General features: G+C 37.9%; 1 protein-coding gene across 8 annotated transcripts in view, besides 2 other annotated features; it reads left to right on the plus strand.

Moving 5' to 3' along the window:
* Nucleotides 1-17372, plus strand: part of ARHGAP28 (Rho GTPase activating protein 28) — a 186001-nt gene that overhangs the window by 19517 nt on the left and 149112 nt on the right. The gene's annotated exons all lie outside the window — the stretch shown is intronic.
* Nucleotides 2730-3305: an enhancer, noted in NCBI's record as "OCT4-NANOG-H3K27ac hESC enhancer chr18:6751961-6752536 (GRCh37/hg19 assembly coordinates)". NCBI's record gives its function as "activates a minimal SCP1, AML or CMV promoter by ChIP-STARR-seq in primed H9 embryonic stem cells {active_cell/tissue: H9 hESC(primed)}" and the evidence as "EXISTENCE:reporter gene assay evidence [ECO:0000049][PMID:30033119]".
* Nucleotides 3306-3881: an enhancer, noted in NCBI's record as "OCT4-NANOG-H3K27ac hESC enhancer chr18:6752537-6753112 (GRCh37/hg19 assembly coordinates)". NCBI's record gives its function as "activates a minimal SCP1, AML or CMV promoter by ChIP-STARR-seq in primed H9 embryonic stem cells {active_cell/tissue: H9 hESC(primed)}" and the evidence as "EXISTENCE:reporter gene assay evidence [ECO:0000049][PMID:30033119]".

Genomic DNA, 17372 nt, shown 5'->3' on the forward strand with positions numbered 1-17372 from the left:
GGCTAGCTAAAATTATAGGTAGCAAATTAATAGCATATCTTATAGGAAAGTTAGAAATGTAAAAGCCAGATATTACTCTCTCTCCTACAAATATTCCTTGGTAGTATTGTTTGACAAAATGCTGGACTGGAGAGATATTTTCCTTTACCCAGGGTTTTATAGTCTGCTTTGATTGCATATAACCTGTCCAGCAATCAGTTTATAGGACATTTGAGCCCCAAGGACCCATAGAAAACATCTAACCTTATTTTTCAAATGAAGAAGGTGAGATGTTAATCAACTCAAGTCTCCAATGTTCTAACATTTCTATACCATTTTTTTAAATGGGAAGATCTCATCATGCTTTTTCACATTGTATTCTTACCATTCCTTCCATATAATATGTGGCATTAGAGTATAGCATCACTCTATCCACAGAGCGAGAGATAGCTTATATGTATGCAAAAACAGATTTTTGGGGAATGCTTAGCATCCATAGATTCAGGATTGTACTCTTTCTCAGGCCTTGGTATAGATGACATATTTAGAGTAGTAATATAATCAGTCTGCCCTTTGAAAAGGAGTATTTTAATGAAAATGAGTGTTCTATTTTAAAATTAAAAATTAGAACATAATTAATTTTCACTGACAGGTTATTCTCAAATAGTAAAGTGTAGGTAGCTTCAAAAATATACCCTCAGTGTACATTTAAAGTTCAGTGAGGATTCCAAGAAGGAAAAAGGGGTATCTTCAAAATGGCATTTGTGATGATCTCCAACTCAGTTTTCTTTTCTGGTTCCTTCCTTCTGTCTATTGGACTTTTCCTTTTGGAGAAGGCAACTTAAACTCCCATGCCTTACTGGGTGCCTACTCTCACGTGTCTCTGGGTCTGTGTGCGTGGTATTAATTGCTAACATCTACTGAGTGCTTCCTATAAAGCAAGCACTATTCCAAATGCTTTACATGTATTAAAGCCCCTAGGGTTTACTCCTATGAGGTAGGTGTTTTTTTGCTTCTAATTTTACAGATTTAGAAACTGAGATACAGGGTAACTAATCGGCCCAAGTGAAGTATGGTAATGTCAGCCTAAAACCCAATGCTGCTGCTGTTGCTTTTTAAAAATTGTGGTAAAATATACATTCCACAATACAGCTCATGCCTCTTAGCCATCACACTCTGTTCCCTTTCTATACATCCTACTTCCTTTGCCTGAAGAGCCTCTTCCCCAATCTTCACCTGGTAAGTACTATAGTCCTTGGAGATTGGGTCATATGTTACTGTGTTAGTCTGTTTCCTGTTTCTATAAAAGAATGTCAAAGACTGGATACTGTATAAAGAAAATAAGTTTGTTTAGCTCATGATTCTAGAGGCTGGGAAGTCCAAGTGCTTGGTGCTGTGTATGGCCAGGGCCTTTGTGCTGTGTCACAAGATGGTGGAGGACATCACATGGTGAGAGGGAAAGAGTGTGCCAGCTCAGGTCTCTCTTCTTCTTATAAAGCCACAGTCCCATCGTGGAGGCCCACCCTGATTACCTTACCTAATCCTAATTACCCTTCTAAGGCTCTACCTCCAAATATCACCAACACATGAATTTGGGGATTAACTTTTCATCACATAAAATTTAAGGGACATATTTAAAACATAGCACTTGACATTATCTAGAAAGCCTTCCTTAGTACCTTTTCGTGTTTTCTTCCAATCTGGGTCTAGATTATTTCCTTTATGCTACCAGTAAAACCTGGGCCAGTTAGAGCCATAAATTTATTATTTCCAAAGGTAATTATGATGTTACTCCTCTGTAGCTGACCCCTACCCCTGCACTGGACTGCAGCCTCCCTGAAAGCAGAAGTCAGGGTTTATCTTTCTGATCTCAGTACCTAGCAACGTACCCTAGAAATATTTATGGAATAGAGAGAGGGAGGCAATGTATGATTTTTTTTAATTGAAAAACAAAATAACTGACTGCTTAAAATTTTTCAGAGAAGACAATTTTTTAAATTTTTCAATGAAACATAGAAAATGATACACCAAAGAAACACAGAGAAATGTTAATCTACGTCAGGTTCCACATAGCCAGCTCCTAATATTTTCCCTTTGTCAGATTTTTATCTCTTGTAAAGAAAAAAAAAAAATCCCAAGAGGTGAAAGAGAAAGGAAATGCTTTTGTTTTTCAACTGTGAAACTGGAGTTTCCATGACCTCATTGTGAGGCCATCGCTCTTCTTGGAGGTATTAATAATTTGTCTCTTGTTAAAGTGCAGCATCTTAATTTAGGGCTCAGTGACTTAGGATGATTTAGAAGGGATCAGAAAACATAATTTTAAAGACTGGAAAATGATGGCCATGAGGAATATACATGGAAATTGATATTATTGGAGCTGGAGTATAGAAAGGCAAAATTCTCTGTGCTAATTGCATCAACAAGAAGAAAATATTGTCCCACTTGTGGGCACATACAAACTGGTTCTCTACGGGGGTGTCCACCCCTAGAGTGAACTGCCAGCCCTGGCAACAGCAGTTGCTCCCTGCTAGCAGCGTCATAGATCACAAAATAAAATAGTGCTGTCTCTTTGTAATTGTGTAAGCCATAACATTTGCTGTATAATTTTCTTTTCTGATTTAACTTGATTTTCTGTCCTTGAAATTTCCTAGGGTTATAAACATAATTGGTGATTGCTAAGACAAGAAGCCAATTTTTCTATTATAAGAAATAGCAAAGTACCTTCCGTTTTTGAAGCCTTGCTTACAAAACTTAAAAAAAAAAATTCCAGGCATCTGGGAAATTCAAATTCATAAAATAATGTTTAATTAGAAAGTAAAGGAAGCTACACTTGTAGAACAGAGTAATTTGATTATATTTTAACTATTAAATAATTTTCAAGGTGGTCATTATTATATGCACTTAATTGACATTAGATTATATTAAGAATTTAATTTTAGCTCCCTTTACAAATTGGCCAATGCCCATTCACCCTTGGTAGACTAATAAGGTTTCTACTGAGCCGTGTTTTTTATTAATCCTCATTGCTACTCTCAGATAAAAGACACGAATAGGACCAATGGAATTCTTTCCACTATTGAGTTCTATAAACACAATTTCTGGAGCTGTTTCAACAGAATGTGAGCATTATTATAAATTATTGGGAACTCAGACCCAAATCAAAACAATGAAGCAAAACAGACCTTCCTGCCTGTTCTGATTGCATCACTGTCCTCACAAGTCAATAAACGTCTAGCGCTTCACTTTAAAATTTCTTACAAGCTTTTTCTTGGTTCTCTTTCTCTAACTTGGTCTCTCACAATCTTTTTGTGTCTAAATTTGAGATCATTTGTGTCTTCAGTGCAAACCTCATGGAGAATAACAAAGATTCCAGTCTCAGCAAAACCACGAAGTGCTAAATCCACCTCAGCCTCTGCATGAGAAAGACCATGTCTAAGGAATGCTGTGAATTGGGCTCTGGAAGCTTCTCAGGCTCAAAGTCAGTTCTTGCCTGGGAGTGCTGTGTGACACAGCAGGCTTTTCCTTCTCTCAGCTTAAGAGTATGGACCAGTGACAGTGAGGCCTTTTGTTCCGCTCAGCACTCTCTGACCACCCCTGGTCACAGTTCAGGAATGCAGAAGTTTGGGCTTCTAAGAAATTAAGCTAGTATCGTTGCACCAAGTCATGGGTTTATGTTTTTGCTTTATATGTTCATAAGCATTTTATTTGCTTTCATTTTTTACCCACTAATTGGCAATACTTTTTTTTTTCTGTTGTTGCTATAAATACTACGTAGGGGTTTTAATGAAGTATTAATAGACCCTCAAGCTTTTCCTAATAAATCAGAGGGTTTTGTATCTTACAGAAATGTTGCTTAGTTGAGTGATTCTGGGTCTAGACTAGATGTAATTTGCGAGGAGGGAGAGAATAAAGGGATTTGTAATATTTAGGGACCCAGTTTGAAATGGTACCAATGGATTTATTTTGTATTTTTTTAAGGGAAGAGTTGTTGAAAGAGACTATTAAATAATGTCTGCTTATTTTCAGGACAATATTGTAATTGCAAAAGCTTAAAGTAGGAAAATTAGTTTGAGATGAGAGCCACTGCTCTTGTCTAAAAAGAAATTTCTTCAAATTAGTCTTTAAATTTTTTTTGGATATTCCTATTTTATCGAATGCAAAGTGACAATAAGAACAGATACTGTGTTTTCTTGAGATCAAATTGAGATCAACTGTATTTTTTCTTCTTTGTCTGCTATCTGTGTGTGTGTGATTCACAGAGTTAATGCAATCTTATGATTTACTCTGTAGCATACAAGAAAGTTTCAGTTTATTCTATAAATGCAGACCACACTTTGAAGAACATAATATATATAACCTCACATAGTGTGAAATTTGAATTTGATGTTTAAAGATTATTCTTAATAAAGTGGGTATTTTCCAAATTAAATGAAAAGATAATATTTGGTGAAATTAGATTGAATTGGTTGAGGCATTTTATGTTTGCCACTGTTTTTAAAGTTTGAGTTCTGATGGTCTTCCAGAGGCGTAGCTACTGTATGTTCCGATTCTCTAGTAGCGTTTCATCTTCAAACACTTTACCCCTCGCATACCAATTTTTGTCTTAGTAAATATGGCCTCTGCCCATAAGAGACAGAAGAGGTTGCTGAAATTCTTAAAGGAATCTAATTGTAAAGCTGACACACAGAGCCATGCTAACTTTTTGTGACTAGGATTTGCTCAAATTCTGGTCTGCACTAGCACATTTCTTCTTCAGTATTACATCAATAGCTCTAAAATATATTATACAATTGATTTCTGCAATTATTTCATTTGTTCTTAAAGTCTACTTATCTCAAATATGACCATTTGCATGAAATAACAAGGTAGCAGGTAGGAAGAATACTGTTTAAAACATTATCGTAGAGTGGAATATATAATTTATTTTTGGCCATGTGACTCTGCAGCTGTAATTACTTTCCTTAAATCTTTAGTGATATTTACTTCTTTCTATTAAATGTGGTCTTCAGTCCTTATTGCAGTTTCTTCCAAACGGTACCACAAATCCAACAACTATTATGGCAAACCCATTAATGATATGTCATTATCATCATGAGATTAAACTGTATTTGGATAAGTAGAGCCATTTAATGTTGTTAAATCGTACTAGAAGAAGGGAATACAGCTCTATACTGGGTATCATAAGCAGGATAAATTTAAATACTAAGATTTTAAGAATCCATGCTGGCTAAGAAAGGGAGAGCATTGTCAAAATTCTCAAATCACGGAGTAGGATAGAGTTGGCAGTTGTCTCCCTGATACTAATTCACCGATGGCATGAAGTAGCTTTCCAGAACTAGTGACCAACTGTGCCCTCCAGCATCCATAATTTGGTGGACTGAGATAAGGGTAAAGTAATGAAACTTAATGCTTCAGGGCATATGTAAACTGTTCTTTTGCAGAGATAGGACAGGAATTTTCTCCATTCATTCTGCAGGTCAATTTCCCAAGGATCTTCATAAGTAATATTGTGAAATGAAGCCCTGGACCTGGGAACCTGAATTTGCCAGCTAAGTTTCCCAAGTAGACTATATGTCTGAGTGAATAAATGAATTTGATCCAAGGGTAAGGAGGTCAGGGGGTTTGTGTAAGGGGACTAAAAGAAAGTAAATTGGCGGGGAGTAGTGGGTCATGCTTATAATCCCAGCACTTTGGGAAGCCAAGGCAGGTGGATCACCTGAGGTCAGGAGTTCGAGACCAGCTTGGCCAACATGGTGAAACCTCGTCTCTACCAAAAATACAAAAAAATTAGCTAGGTGTGGTGGTACACCTAGCTACTGTAATCCCAGCTACTTGTCTGTAATCCCAGCTACTTGGGAAGCTGAGGCACAAGAATCACTTGAACCCAGGAGGCAGAGGCTGCAGTGAGCCGAGATCGCGCCACTGCACTCCAGCTTGGGTGACAGAGTGAGACTCTGTCTTAAAGCAAAAAAAGAAAGTAAATTTTTGGAAGAATTTTAATGTGATATGGAAAAAGCCTAGATCTCCTAAGGCAAGTGATGAGTCAAAGGCAATATGGGAAACATAACGTGAGAGAGTGAAGTTGAGTAGTGGCTCCTTTCCAAAAAGTGACAATGGAATCCTTAAGGATATAAATGCCATTAGGGTGGTTATAATAGACTAGAAGGCACTGAAGCAGGAGAGCCAGTGATTTGGCAAAAGGACTAGAGGGAAATGAAGTGTTTAAAGGCAGGAAGAGGCAGAAAAAGGAGAAACGGGGAAAAGCATTGTCAAGCTCATGATGGTCAGAACAATTGATTTTAGGATGAGGAAATGAAAGCATCAGAATTATTAAAACCATATGAAAACCAGTAATTATTTAAATTATTAAATTGACTTGTGCCAGTTGCACTGGTTGTGCCTAAGTAAGACAACTGTATATTTTATTATTCAAAATGAGACAATTTTGAGAGTGAACTTAACAATTATGCCTGGACAGCAGGTATAACCTGGGGTTTTCTGAGCAAACCAGAACATGTGGTCATCTTATGCCTGAGTCCAAATACCATAAAATGTAGTATTCTATGTTTTCTAATGAGTATCATTGCTGACCAGCATTTGAGCAATTTCTTTTATATCAATAAACACCAAAATATCAATTAAATCAATATATAGGTCTCAAATATTTTGGTTCATATATAGAATCACAAAAGAATCAGGGCATTTTGGTTATAAGTCACTGTTATTTCACTTTCAGTCTCATCAGTATTGAAATAATCAACTCCGTTAGCTTTGAAAGAAACAAATCTATGGGGAAGGGTAGGAGTCCTTGGAGCCAGACTGTTGGATTGGGATCCTGGCTCTTCTACTGACTGTGGGAACTTGGGCAGGTTATTTAGCCACAGTGGCTGTTTCCTCCCTGGGGATAGTAATAGTATTAATCTCACAGATTTATTGTGAGAATTAAAAACATTAAGTAAAGACCTTAGAATGATGACTGCAATATAGATCTATGGAAGAGCCAACTATTCTTTTATTATATTCTCAGGGCGCACTGTTCTTTTTTTGCACAGTCCTTTGAATGATCATTTCCTGTCCTCTTTCCCTTCCCTCTCTTCCTATTCCATCTCCATCCCTTTCAGGTGTAAAAATCCAAATTGAATAAGGAAAGTAACTCTCACAGAAATAACGTATCAGAAAATATCCTTTCTACTTCAGCTTATGTTAGAAGAATAAGATACCACATAGAAGGGGGATCTTCCAAACCTAATAAATGTGGAGGTTGATTTCTTAATATACAAATTATTGATCATGATGATTTAATCAAAACTGAAGGATTCATTTACATTGAAAAAATGTTTGTTATTTGGTGTATAGTCAGGGTTTTCTAGAAGGACAGAACGAATAGGATATATGTATATATGAAAGGGAGTTTATTAAGGAGAATTGACTCACACAATCACAAGGTGAAATACCATGAGGAGCAAGGAAGGCAGTAGTGGCTCAGTCCGAGCCCAAAATCTCAAAAGTAGGGAAGCCGACAGTGCAGCCTTCAGTCTTTGGCCAAAGTCTGAGAGCCACTGGTGTGAGTCCAAGAGTCCAAAAGCCAAAGAACTTGGAATCTAACGTTCAAGGGCAGGAAGCATCCAGCATGGGAGAAAGATGAAGACCACAAGACTCTGCAAGTCCACTGCTCCCACCTTCTTCTGCCTGCTTTATGCTAGCTGCGCTGGCAGTTGATTGGATGGTGCCCACCCACGTTGAGGGTGGGTCTGCCTCTTTCAGTCCACTGACTCAAATCTTAATCTCTTTTGGCAACACCCTCACAGACGCACCAGGAAAAATACTTTGCATCCTTCAATCCTATCAAGTTGACACTTAATATTAACCATCACACTTGGGTCTTGACAGTAAAGAGCATTACTTAAAAAATCAAGAAAATACTCTTTCTAACCGTTTGCAAAGAATATGACCTGCTTAATAGTTATCACAAATGGCAAACAGCAGTATTTTTTGGAAACATGGAAACTGGTTAGTGTAATAAGCCATTATTTCACATGGTGAAGTTTGGAAAACAGGAGAAAACCCTATTAGACATTCGCAGAGATATGTAGGAAAATAGGGGGCAGGGCAGTGTTTAGAGAAAGAAGGGAAACAAATGAAATAAAGCAAAAGAACCAAAATGTCTCTAGAAAGATGGGTCAGAGGCAGAGATAAATGAGAACAGAAGCTTGACCAGCTTTACATATTGAAAGGAACGTATCTGAAGTAGGAATTCTAGGAACATACCGACGATTAATACAAAGCCAGGATTTTACAGTCATTATGATGTTACTTTCTTAGAGAAATAAAATCCATACAGATTTGGTAAAAGGAGCATTTGAAGTCGTGGTCAATGTTCTAGCTTACCTATCCTATTGAATTAAGAATTAAGCAGTGACAAGTGTATATATGTTTCCAAAATTTTGTTATCTCTTTCTCCCTATGTCCTCCTCTCCATCATTGCAAAGTTAATGGGACGTGTGACATCAAAGACACAGAAACAGACCAAATATCCAGTGTTTTCAGCAACTTTGGTAAATTCTTTAAAAATCTGGTGGAGTCAAGGGTCTTTCCAGCATCCAGTAGAATAAAGCATTGAACACAGAGTTAGTTGTTCAAGGCACACAAGCAGGAGTATGGATCAAGCTCACACAGCACTGCCCCAGAAGATAAATGAGCTCTGCCCTTAGATTATCTGCCCAGTCAAAAGACAGCATGGTTTCCCTGAGACTTGGCCTCAGCATTCCTAAGCCGAGCTATAAATTTTTGGCTCTGAGAGCCATTTTCCAAGTACCACTAAGTCCTTTTTTGTGCTGTATTAAATAGCTATTTCCCAAGTTTATTGGTGAAAGGTTTGGGAAACAAACTGATGCCTGAGGAATTCTTTTGACCTGTGTCACTGCATGGAGTTGTAGGTTTGCTAGCAATATTATTTAGGATAATCCAAGTGAGAAATTCCTGTGGCAAACATACTATAATAAAACCATCAGATGAGCAATGGGTGAGGGGCCGGGGAACTTGTTAAAAGCCGTAAAGCATAACTAAGACTGTCCTTTTTTGCTTCGGTTTAGGGCAGAGATTCTGCTCTGGAGTCTGGTGCTTGCTTGTCTTTTTTTTTTTTGAAACAAAGTCGCTCAGGCGAGTGCGGTGGCATGATCTCGGCTCACTGAAACTTCTGCCTCCCGAGTTCAAATGATTCTCCAGCTGCAGCCTCCCGAGTAGCTGGGATTGCAAGCACGCACCACTAAGCCTGGCTAATTTTCGTAATTTTAGCAGAGATGGGGTGTCTCCATGTTAGCCAGGCTGGTCTCGAACTCCTGACCTCGGGTGATCCGCCCACCTCGGCTTCCCAAAGTGCTGGGATTACAGGCGTGAGCCACTTTGCCCAGCCACTTGCTTGTCTTTTAACATTGCACCAGAAAACCAGAAGGGAAAGGGTGAGAAATACAAATTGTCCAGTTTTCCTCCTAGCTGCTTGGTCTAGTTAAACATTTGTAGGTAGACAGACCTGAAAATAAGGTTTTATGGTATTTATGATTTTTTTCTCTATCTATTCACTTATTATCTCAGATAAATGAGAATTGTGGTCTTCAATTAGAGAAGATCAAAGGCAAATCAGGAAATAGTGATTTATTTATTGTAAGAGTCAGGAATGGCATAGTACTGCTTTAGATTTGTTGTGAAATAATGTGGAACTTGTTGCTCTATTAAACAGATTTTTATTAATGAGCTTTAAAAATCATACTTAATCACATATGACACAGTAAAATTAAATTTGAATAAAATCCTTGTTTAAAATCAATTTAAATTTAATACTTAGTATGTATGGAGTGGGCTTTTCCTTTTAGATGCTTACTGTGTTTTCTTATAGGCATTATTTCACCGTTGATACCTTACATATAGTTGGAAAGGAGGCAAATTCAGATATACTGGCAGCTGGGGATTTAGTTCTTAATCTCAAATCCTTTTAGACACAGTTACTCAAATTTCAGAATGTTTTATTAAAGAGTTGGTAGGAAAATTTGGGGAAAAAACTGGGCTTTTCAAAAAGTAAAGTGTAATCAAAAGGCAAGCCTAGAAATGAATAAGGAAATTCTGCTTTTCACTTAGAACATTCTATGATCAATAAACGCCTGTGTTTAGATGTAGTTTTTATTATTTCATATCTTTTCTGTAGCATGTAAAGTTACAGGGACTTACCTTCATTTTGGTGGTTCTTTAATTTGTTTTTAAGTGCTACTAATTTTATTCAGAGTTATGCTGCATAAAATATGGTTGGTTCGTTTTAAAATGTATATTTAGAGCTTAAGCCCTGCACCTAATAGGTTAAGAATTTAAAATACGCTGGATATGCTTATGGAACATCAGTATTAAATGAGTGAAGAAATTGAAATCTACAGCACATCTATTTGGAAATTAGAATAGCAAAAACAAAAGGTAAATAGTAGCTAAAATTGGAACACTTTCAGATTCCTATCTTATCTTGAAAAACTATGAAAGAATAACAGAGAAACTAGGCTCTTATGCCCAGCTGCAGAGTTCCCCTGCTAAAGAATAACGTGACTTTAAATTTCACCCCAAGTCTCCGCTTCCCACTGTGTTTAAAAACTGTGGTCACAGGTGGTTGATTCCTTTTTCAGAAGGCACTTCATTTAGATAGGTATCAGAACCTTGTTTGATTCAACAAGAAGGCTATGCTAATTGTTGGCTATTTTCTTGGAGAGGGACATCAAATTGTAATCAGGAATTTTAGGAGAAACTTGTGATCAAAACATTTGCAGCAGGAGTTCAAACAAAGAATTCAATGTGCTAAAATAATGAAGTGAATCTTCTCTGTCATGGAATTATATCCTAACTATGCCTGCCTATGTAAGTTCAAACACACACACACACACAAACTACATGTTTTGGAGAAGTGCAGCGAACAGATAGGTTTTTTCCGCTTTAGAAACATTGGGCCACTTTAAAAGTTTGGTGACAGTAAATTTGCAAATATGATTATTTTCATTTTCCAAGTAAAAAAATTGTAAGTTTCTGATGCTGTGAAGAAAAAGCAAAAGAAGTATAATTTGTAGGAGTACTCTCAAAGTCAAGATCCTCTTATCCTACAAACCAGACTACAATCCCCATCACACCAAGAAATTCTTAGGTCCAGGTAAGAAACAAACTCAGAATTCACCAAGTACATTGTAAAATTATACAGTAGAGTATAATGGACATACAGTAAAATAATGAAATTTAAATGCATGACTTCTGTGAAATTATTTTAAAAGAATTTTTAAACTAGCAGAAAAGTTTATTTTTACTGATGGTTCTGTTGTTTTTACAACACATTCAAAACACTTTCTACAGAAGCTTTCAGTTCCTTAGCAAGGTAAAAGATTTCTCACTAAGAAAATGGATTGCTTTGATAAAGCAATAATTAGCATTGATGTCAAATTTATTATTATCCAAAGCTTATCTCAATTTAGCTATTGCAATAGAGCTTTCCCTTTAAAACCTCCATCACCATTACTATTACTTTACATTCTGATCTTTAATTCATTGGAAGGGATTTGTTACAGTTAGTCTGGGTCAGTGACTCAATCTCTTCAAGAGGAGGAAACACAAAAATGGGCCTTGTACTTTCCTGGATTCATTTCATGTTACTGATTTTACCTGGGTGTAATTCAGAATACAAATGTAGAAGTTGTATATATCCATATCAGGGGTCCTTAGCATATGGGAAGATGAGATCGTGGTATTATACTTAGGTCTCTGTATACAACAAACTTTTTTATTTTTCCAAGTTAAATTCAGTCTTTAAAATGCACGTAAACATACACAAAACAGCATATATATTATACGATTCCCTTTATATATTGTACAAAATAAGCAACACTAATTGGGGGTATCAGAAGTAAGGTTAGTAGCATCTTAGAGATGGGGGTGGGGGTGAGGGCAGGGGCAGGTAGTGAGTGCAAGGAACATGGGGCGAGCTCCTGAGTTACTCTTCTTTTCTTGATTTCAGTGACATTTCATAGGTGTATTCTGTCTGTGGAAACTCATTAGGCAATCCACTTATGGTTTGTTCTGTTTTCTTCATGTATATTACATTAAAATGTTTTTAAAGGCATGTGCATTAGTAAACATGGAATTTTGGTTCCTCAGCTTGGGTCTTGGATATTCACCCAAATACAAGTTGGAAAGGCTGCTTATGTGCACACGTATCTCACAGATCTTGGAGTCTAGCCCACGGTGTTAAGTGAAGGAAACAGTATTGATGGAGGCAGGCATTGCCACTGCTGAACCCACAGCATGAATCTGGGCTCCTAGGCCCTAGGCTTGGACCATCAGCTGCCCAGCCATATTATAATCTGTTAACAGATGTGGATGAGGACCAAGGATCAGAATCAGGAAGGGCCAGTGGTCAGTGAGGGAATTGGGAAGTAAAGCCAACAAGCCAAGCATTGTTAATGATCGAATGACCTCCAAATATGTACCTTCAGCCCAGCCTCCTTCCTGAATAGTGGTTTTCAACTTGGGCTCTGCAATTCGGAAGACTCAATTCCTCTTTTAGCTTTGCCATTTTGTAGCTGTGAACCTTTGGCCAAGTTATGTTATCTCATTAAGCCTGAGCTTCCTTATTTGTAAGAAGATGTATGACAATATAGAGTTGTTGGCACACTCTGTGGTTATATAGGAAAGGTTTAAGAAGGGTAGATAGCAAGGGTAGTTGCTGTCAATAACCAGCGGTCTACAGGCAGTTCCACAGGTTTCTCAAGTCCAATTTTTACTTTGTCATCTCTGCTCACCATTATTTACCCATTTGCTGGTAGCATAGGGATCATTCTCCTTTTCTCCTTCCCTCTACCAATCACCCCATTGATTAGCTTTCCAGTGTGTGTCAGTTTATTACATCGCCATGGCATGACTCAAGCTGTCAGCCTTTCTGGCTTGTCTTACTTCAGATGCCTCCCAGGTGCACCTCCTGCTCCAAAGGTTTCTTATAATGCAGACAGTGATTTTTCTAAAATACAAGTTCAACCATGCCACACACACACACCCTACTTGAAATTCTATAATGGTTTTCATTTCCCTTAGGGTAACCTGAACTGCTTAATATTTTATACCACCTTATAAGGCTTTACATGGCCTGGTTTGCCACCACTTCCCTCTCTAGCTTCAAATTTTGCTGTTTCTCTTTTTCAGTCTATACTGCAAAAGGATGTAATTTCATTCAGTTTCCCCTTCAACATGCTACGCATCCTCTTTCAATTCACGCACGATATTCCTTCTGTTAGAAATAGTCTGCTGTGCCTCCCCCATTTTTATGAAATGAACTGTGTGCCCCCAGAATTTATATGTTGAAGTCTAATCCCCAGTACCTCAGAATGTGACTATATTTAGAGATAGGGCCTTTAAAGAGTTAATTAAGTGAAAATAGGGCCTAATCTAGTATCCCATACTGGTGTCCTTACATGAAGAGAAGATTAGGACAGAGGGAAGACTAAGTGAGAATGCAGGGAGAAGACAGCCATCTATGAGCCAAGGAGAGGGGCCTCAGGAGAAACCAACGCTGTCAGTACCTTGATCTTAGACTTTTAATTTCCAGAACTGTGAGAAAAAAAAAATCTTAAGCCATCCAGTGTGTGACGTTTTGTTATGGCAGCTCAAGCAGAGTAATATACGCACAATGAATTCACTTCCCTGCTTCAGGACTGAGCATAGAAATAATGTTTTCTGGGGTACTCTCTGGGCCAGGCCAGGTGCCCTCTGATTGGCATAACAACACCAAAACTATACTGACCATTCACCAGGCCTTGTATCATCCCATTTAATTTTCACAATAACTTTATGAGAGGGATGGTTGTTTGTTTGTTTGTTTGTTTGTTTTGAGATGGAGTCTTGCACTGTCTCCCAGGCTGGAGTGCAGTGGCGTGATCTCGGCTCACTGCAACTTCTGCCTCAAGCGATTCTCCTGCCTCAGCCTCCTGAGCAGCTGGGACTACAGGCATGCACCACCGTGCCTGCCTAATTTTGGTATTTTTAGTAAAGATGGGGTTTCACCACGTTGGCCAGGCTGGTCTCGAACTCCTGACCTCAAGTGATCCTCCCACCTCAGCTTCCCAAAGTGCTTGGATTACAAGTATGAGCCACCACTCCTGGCCACAAGAGATGATTTTATCATCCTAAATTTACCAATTAGAAAACTGGGGAAAAGAGGAGTTGCCAGACATGTACAGATGACCCAATCTTTTTCCTCAGTTCTTATTTTTCAAGGAAGAATATTCCTGCACACATTTTAGAGTTTGACTTCCAGACTAGCCTTGTTACTGTGTCATAGCAGTCATCCTACTTTACTGCAGACACTTGTTTAATTTTCTTCTCTGCTAGTCTCAAAACTCCGGGAGCACAAAGCCTACGTCTGGAATTTTTTTCACTGACCTATCAGCCAGTGTCCAGCACAGTGTGTGTCCCACAAATATGTGCTGGGTGCTCCCAGCTCCAGTGCTGAGACAAGTGAGCTGCCAGTAGTCTCGCCTGGCCCATAGATGGGGAAGGAGAACAGCAATGCTCTTTAGGTAGGGAGGATACAGGAGCCGAAGTGCAGCGGAGAGGGCTTAAGTGAGCACAGCGCTCTGAGCTTCTCCCTCTTCTCTCTCCACAGTTTTTGCAGTTCTCTTTATTTAGGTTTAGAAAAAGAAAATATTAAAGCAGAGAAATAATTATCAAGAATATGCTATATCCAATCTTTATTTGTACAATCTAGTTGGCTGTTTTCTTCTATCAAACTAAAGAAAAAAATAGCTTTCTTTAGAAATTTGAAATATGGATGATAAAATCTAATTTCACACACTTGAAGTTGTCCATGGAAGGAGTCCTCGTAGACATGAAAGAATGAGGTAATAATTTCAGTGAAATGAAGGGCAGTAGCTCAATTACTGAATTGCTTGGTATTAGAAAAAAGAACATGAATTGGTACCTTTTCTAGAATTTCACAGGCACTTCCTACAATCCAGGGTGCATGAATATTAGTGTATAAGCCCACGTCCAAAGAGATCAAAGGAAATATTAGCATATCAGCACTGTGACACTACCTGCCATTAGTCATTTTAGTAACTGTCTTGATGATCAGATTGAAAAACCATAGTGTATGTAGGGTTTGGCATTATCGAGGTTTCAGGCATCGCCTAGGGGTCTTGGAGCATATCCCCTGAGGAAGAGCAGGGACCACCCTATGTCTCAAGAGAGGCTTAAAGTGTTGTTAGAGTTCAGAGGAAGATGGCTCCTCCCTAGAATCAGGGAAGTCATCAGCCAGAGACTAAGTTGGCCCTGACATTGTTGTAATAACCCCTCTTCAGGAGCTGAAAGCCTGCCAGCCTCCCTGAGGCAGCAGTCAGTTCTCTGACTGATTGGATATGACCTGTGTGTTAGGCCAGTGAACGAGCCAAGAGAGATTCCATTTTTAAGCCTGCTTTAGAATTCAAATCAATCAAAACTCTTGTAAGGTTATTCTGCATCTTATCCCTATGATTGATCAATTCAAGCCTGAAAACAATGGCTGGACTTTCTGCATGTTATACTCTGACCTTGGTGCTAAAAAACGCTAATGTTAGAAATTACGGGCAGTTGCTGTCTGGCCATTTTATTTCATTACTTTACAACGCGCTTAACCAAAAAGGCCTGTACTATTGAGTTTAAACCAAATGACCAATACAATTGAGGTATTTATCTCCAACAGAGGACTTACACTGGAAAAAAAAAGACTCAACAATAATTATTGCTACAGGCTTTAGCAGTCAGACACAAGATGTTACAAGCTAATACTAGATTTGATTTGCTAATGTTTTGCTGAGGATTTCTGTGTCTATGTTTGTAAACGATGTTGGTCCATAGGTTTTTGTTCTGGTAATGTCTTTGTACAGATGGTTTTGGTATCATTATAATCCTGGCTTCTTACAATGAATTGAGAAGAGTTCCTTTTACCTCTTTTCTGTGCAAGTTTGGTTTCTTCCTTAATGTTTGATAGCATATTAGTGAAGCCATCTGGGCTTGGAGTTTTCTTTGTGGGAAGGTTTTAAATTATGAATTCAATTTCTTTAATAAATATGGGTCGATCTCATTTCTTCTTCTGTCAGTTCTAATAAATTATCTTTCAAGGCATTTGTCCATTTCATATAAGCTGTTGAATTTCTTGGCATGGAATTCTTCAAAATATTCCCTTATTTTCTGTTTGTGATCTGTAGGATTTTTAGGTACACGGCTCTTTTTTTCCTTTCCAACACTGCCTATTTTTGGCTCAAGCTGAGCTATAAATTTATTAATTTTACTTATCTTTTCCAAACTCTGCTTTTTAAAAATTTTTTTCTATTGTTTGCCTGCTTACAGTTTCATTGATTTTTGCTCATCTTAATTATTTATTTGCTTCTATTTACTTTTGACTTAATTTAATGCTCTTCTTTTAATAGCTTCCGTAAGATGGAAGCTTAGATAATTGATTTTGTATCTCTCTTCTATTTTAATATAACCATTTATTGCTATAAAATTCCCTCTGAGGATTGCTTTAGCTGCATCCCATATATATTGGTTTGTTGTCGTTTTCTTACTATTGAGTTCAAAATATTTTCTAATTTCTCTTGGGATTTCTTCTTTGACTTTTCAGGATATTTAAAAGTGTGTTGCTTAATTTCCAATCTTTGGGGATTTTCTGGGTATTAAAAAAATCAATTTCTAATTTAATTCCATTGTGGTCAAAGAACATACTTTGCATGAATTAAGTCCTTTAAAATTTCTTGAGACTTGTTTTATGGCTTGTCATATGATTTGTCTTGGGGATGTTCCCTGGGAACCTAAAAAGAATGTGTGGGATGAAAGTAGTCTATAAAGATCCATTAAGTGAATTTGGCTGAGGCTATTGTTTGTTTTCTTTATTTTTCCTGGTGTTCTGTCTACTTGTCCTATCCCTTACTGAGGGAAGAGTGTTGAAATCTCCAACTATAATTGTGCATGTGTCGCTCCTTTCAGTTCTGAAGGGTTTTTACTTCAAATATTTTGAAGCACTGTGTCTCAGGGCATACTCATTTAGGATTATTAGGTTTTCTTGATGAATTCAATAATTTATCATAAGTAAATATCCCTCTTTGTCTTTAGTCCTAGTTCTTTTTCTGAAGTTGTAATAGCCATAGAGTTGTGCTGCTGAGACCTCCTTTCCAAAGAGTGGAATACTTAGCCCACAGCCTCAGTTGCCACACTTCAGGACCTGCCAGTCTTCCTGTAGTGGCTCTGCTCTCCCCAGGATGCCACTGGCCCATGACTGAGCACAGCGTGGTACTAAACGGGGCTGATACAGCGCCAATGCCAGCTCCTCTGATGGGCAGTTTCTGCTGGGG

This window comes from Homo sapiens, chromosome 18 (genome assembly GCF_000001405.40).
Source record: "Homo sapiens chromosome 18, GRCh38.p14 Primary Assembly".
NCBI classification, from domain to species: Eukaryota; Metazoa; Chordata; class Mammalia; order Primates; family Hominidae; genus Homo; species Homo sapiens.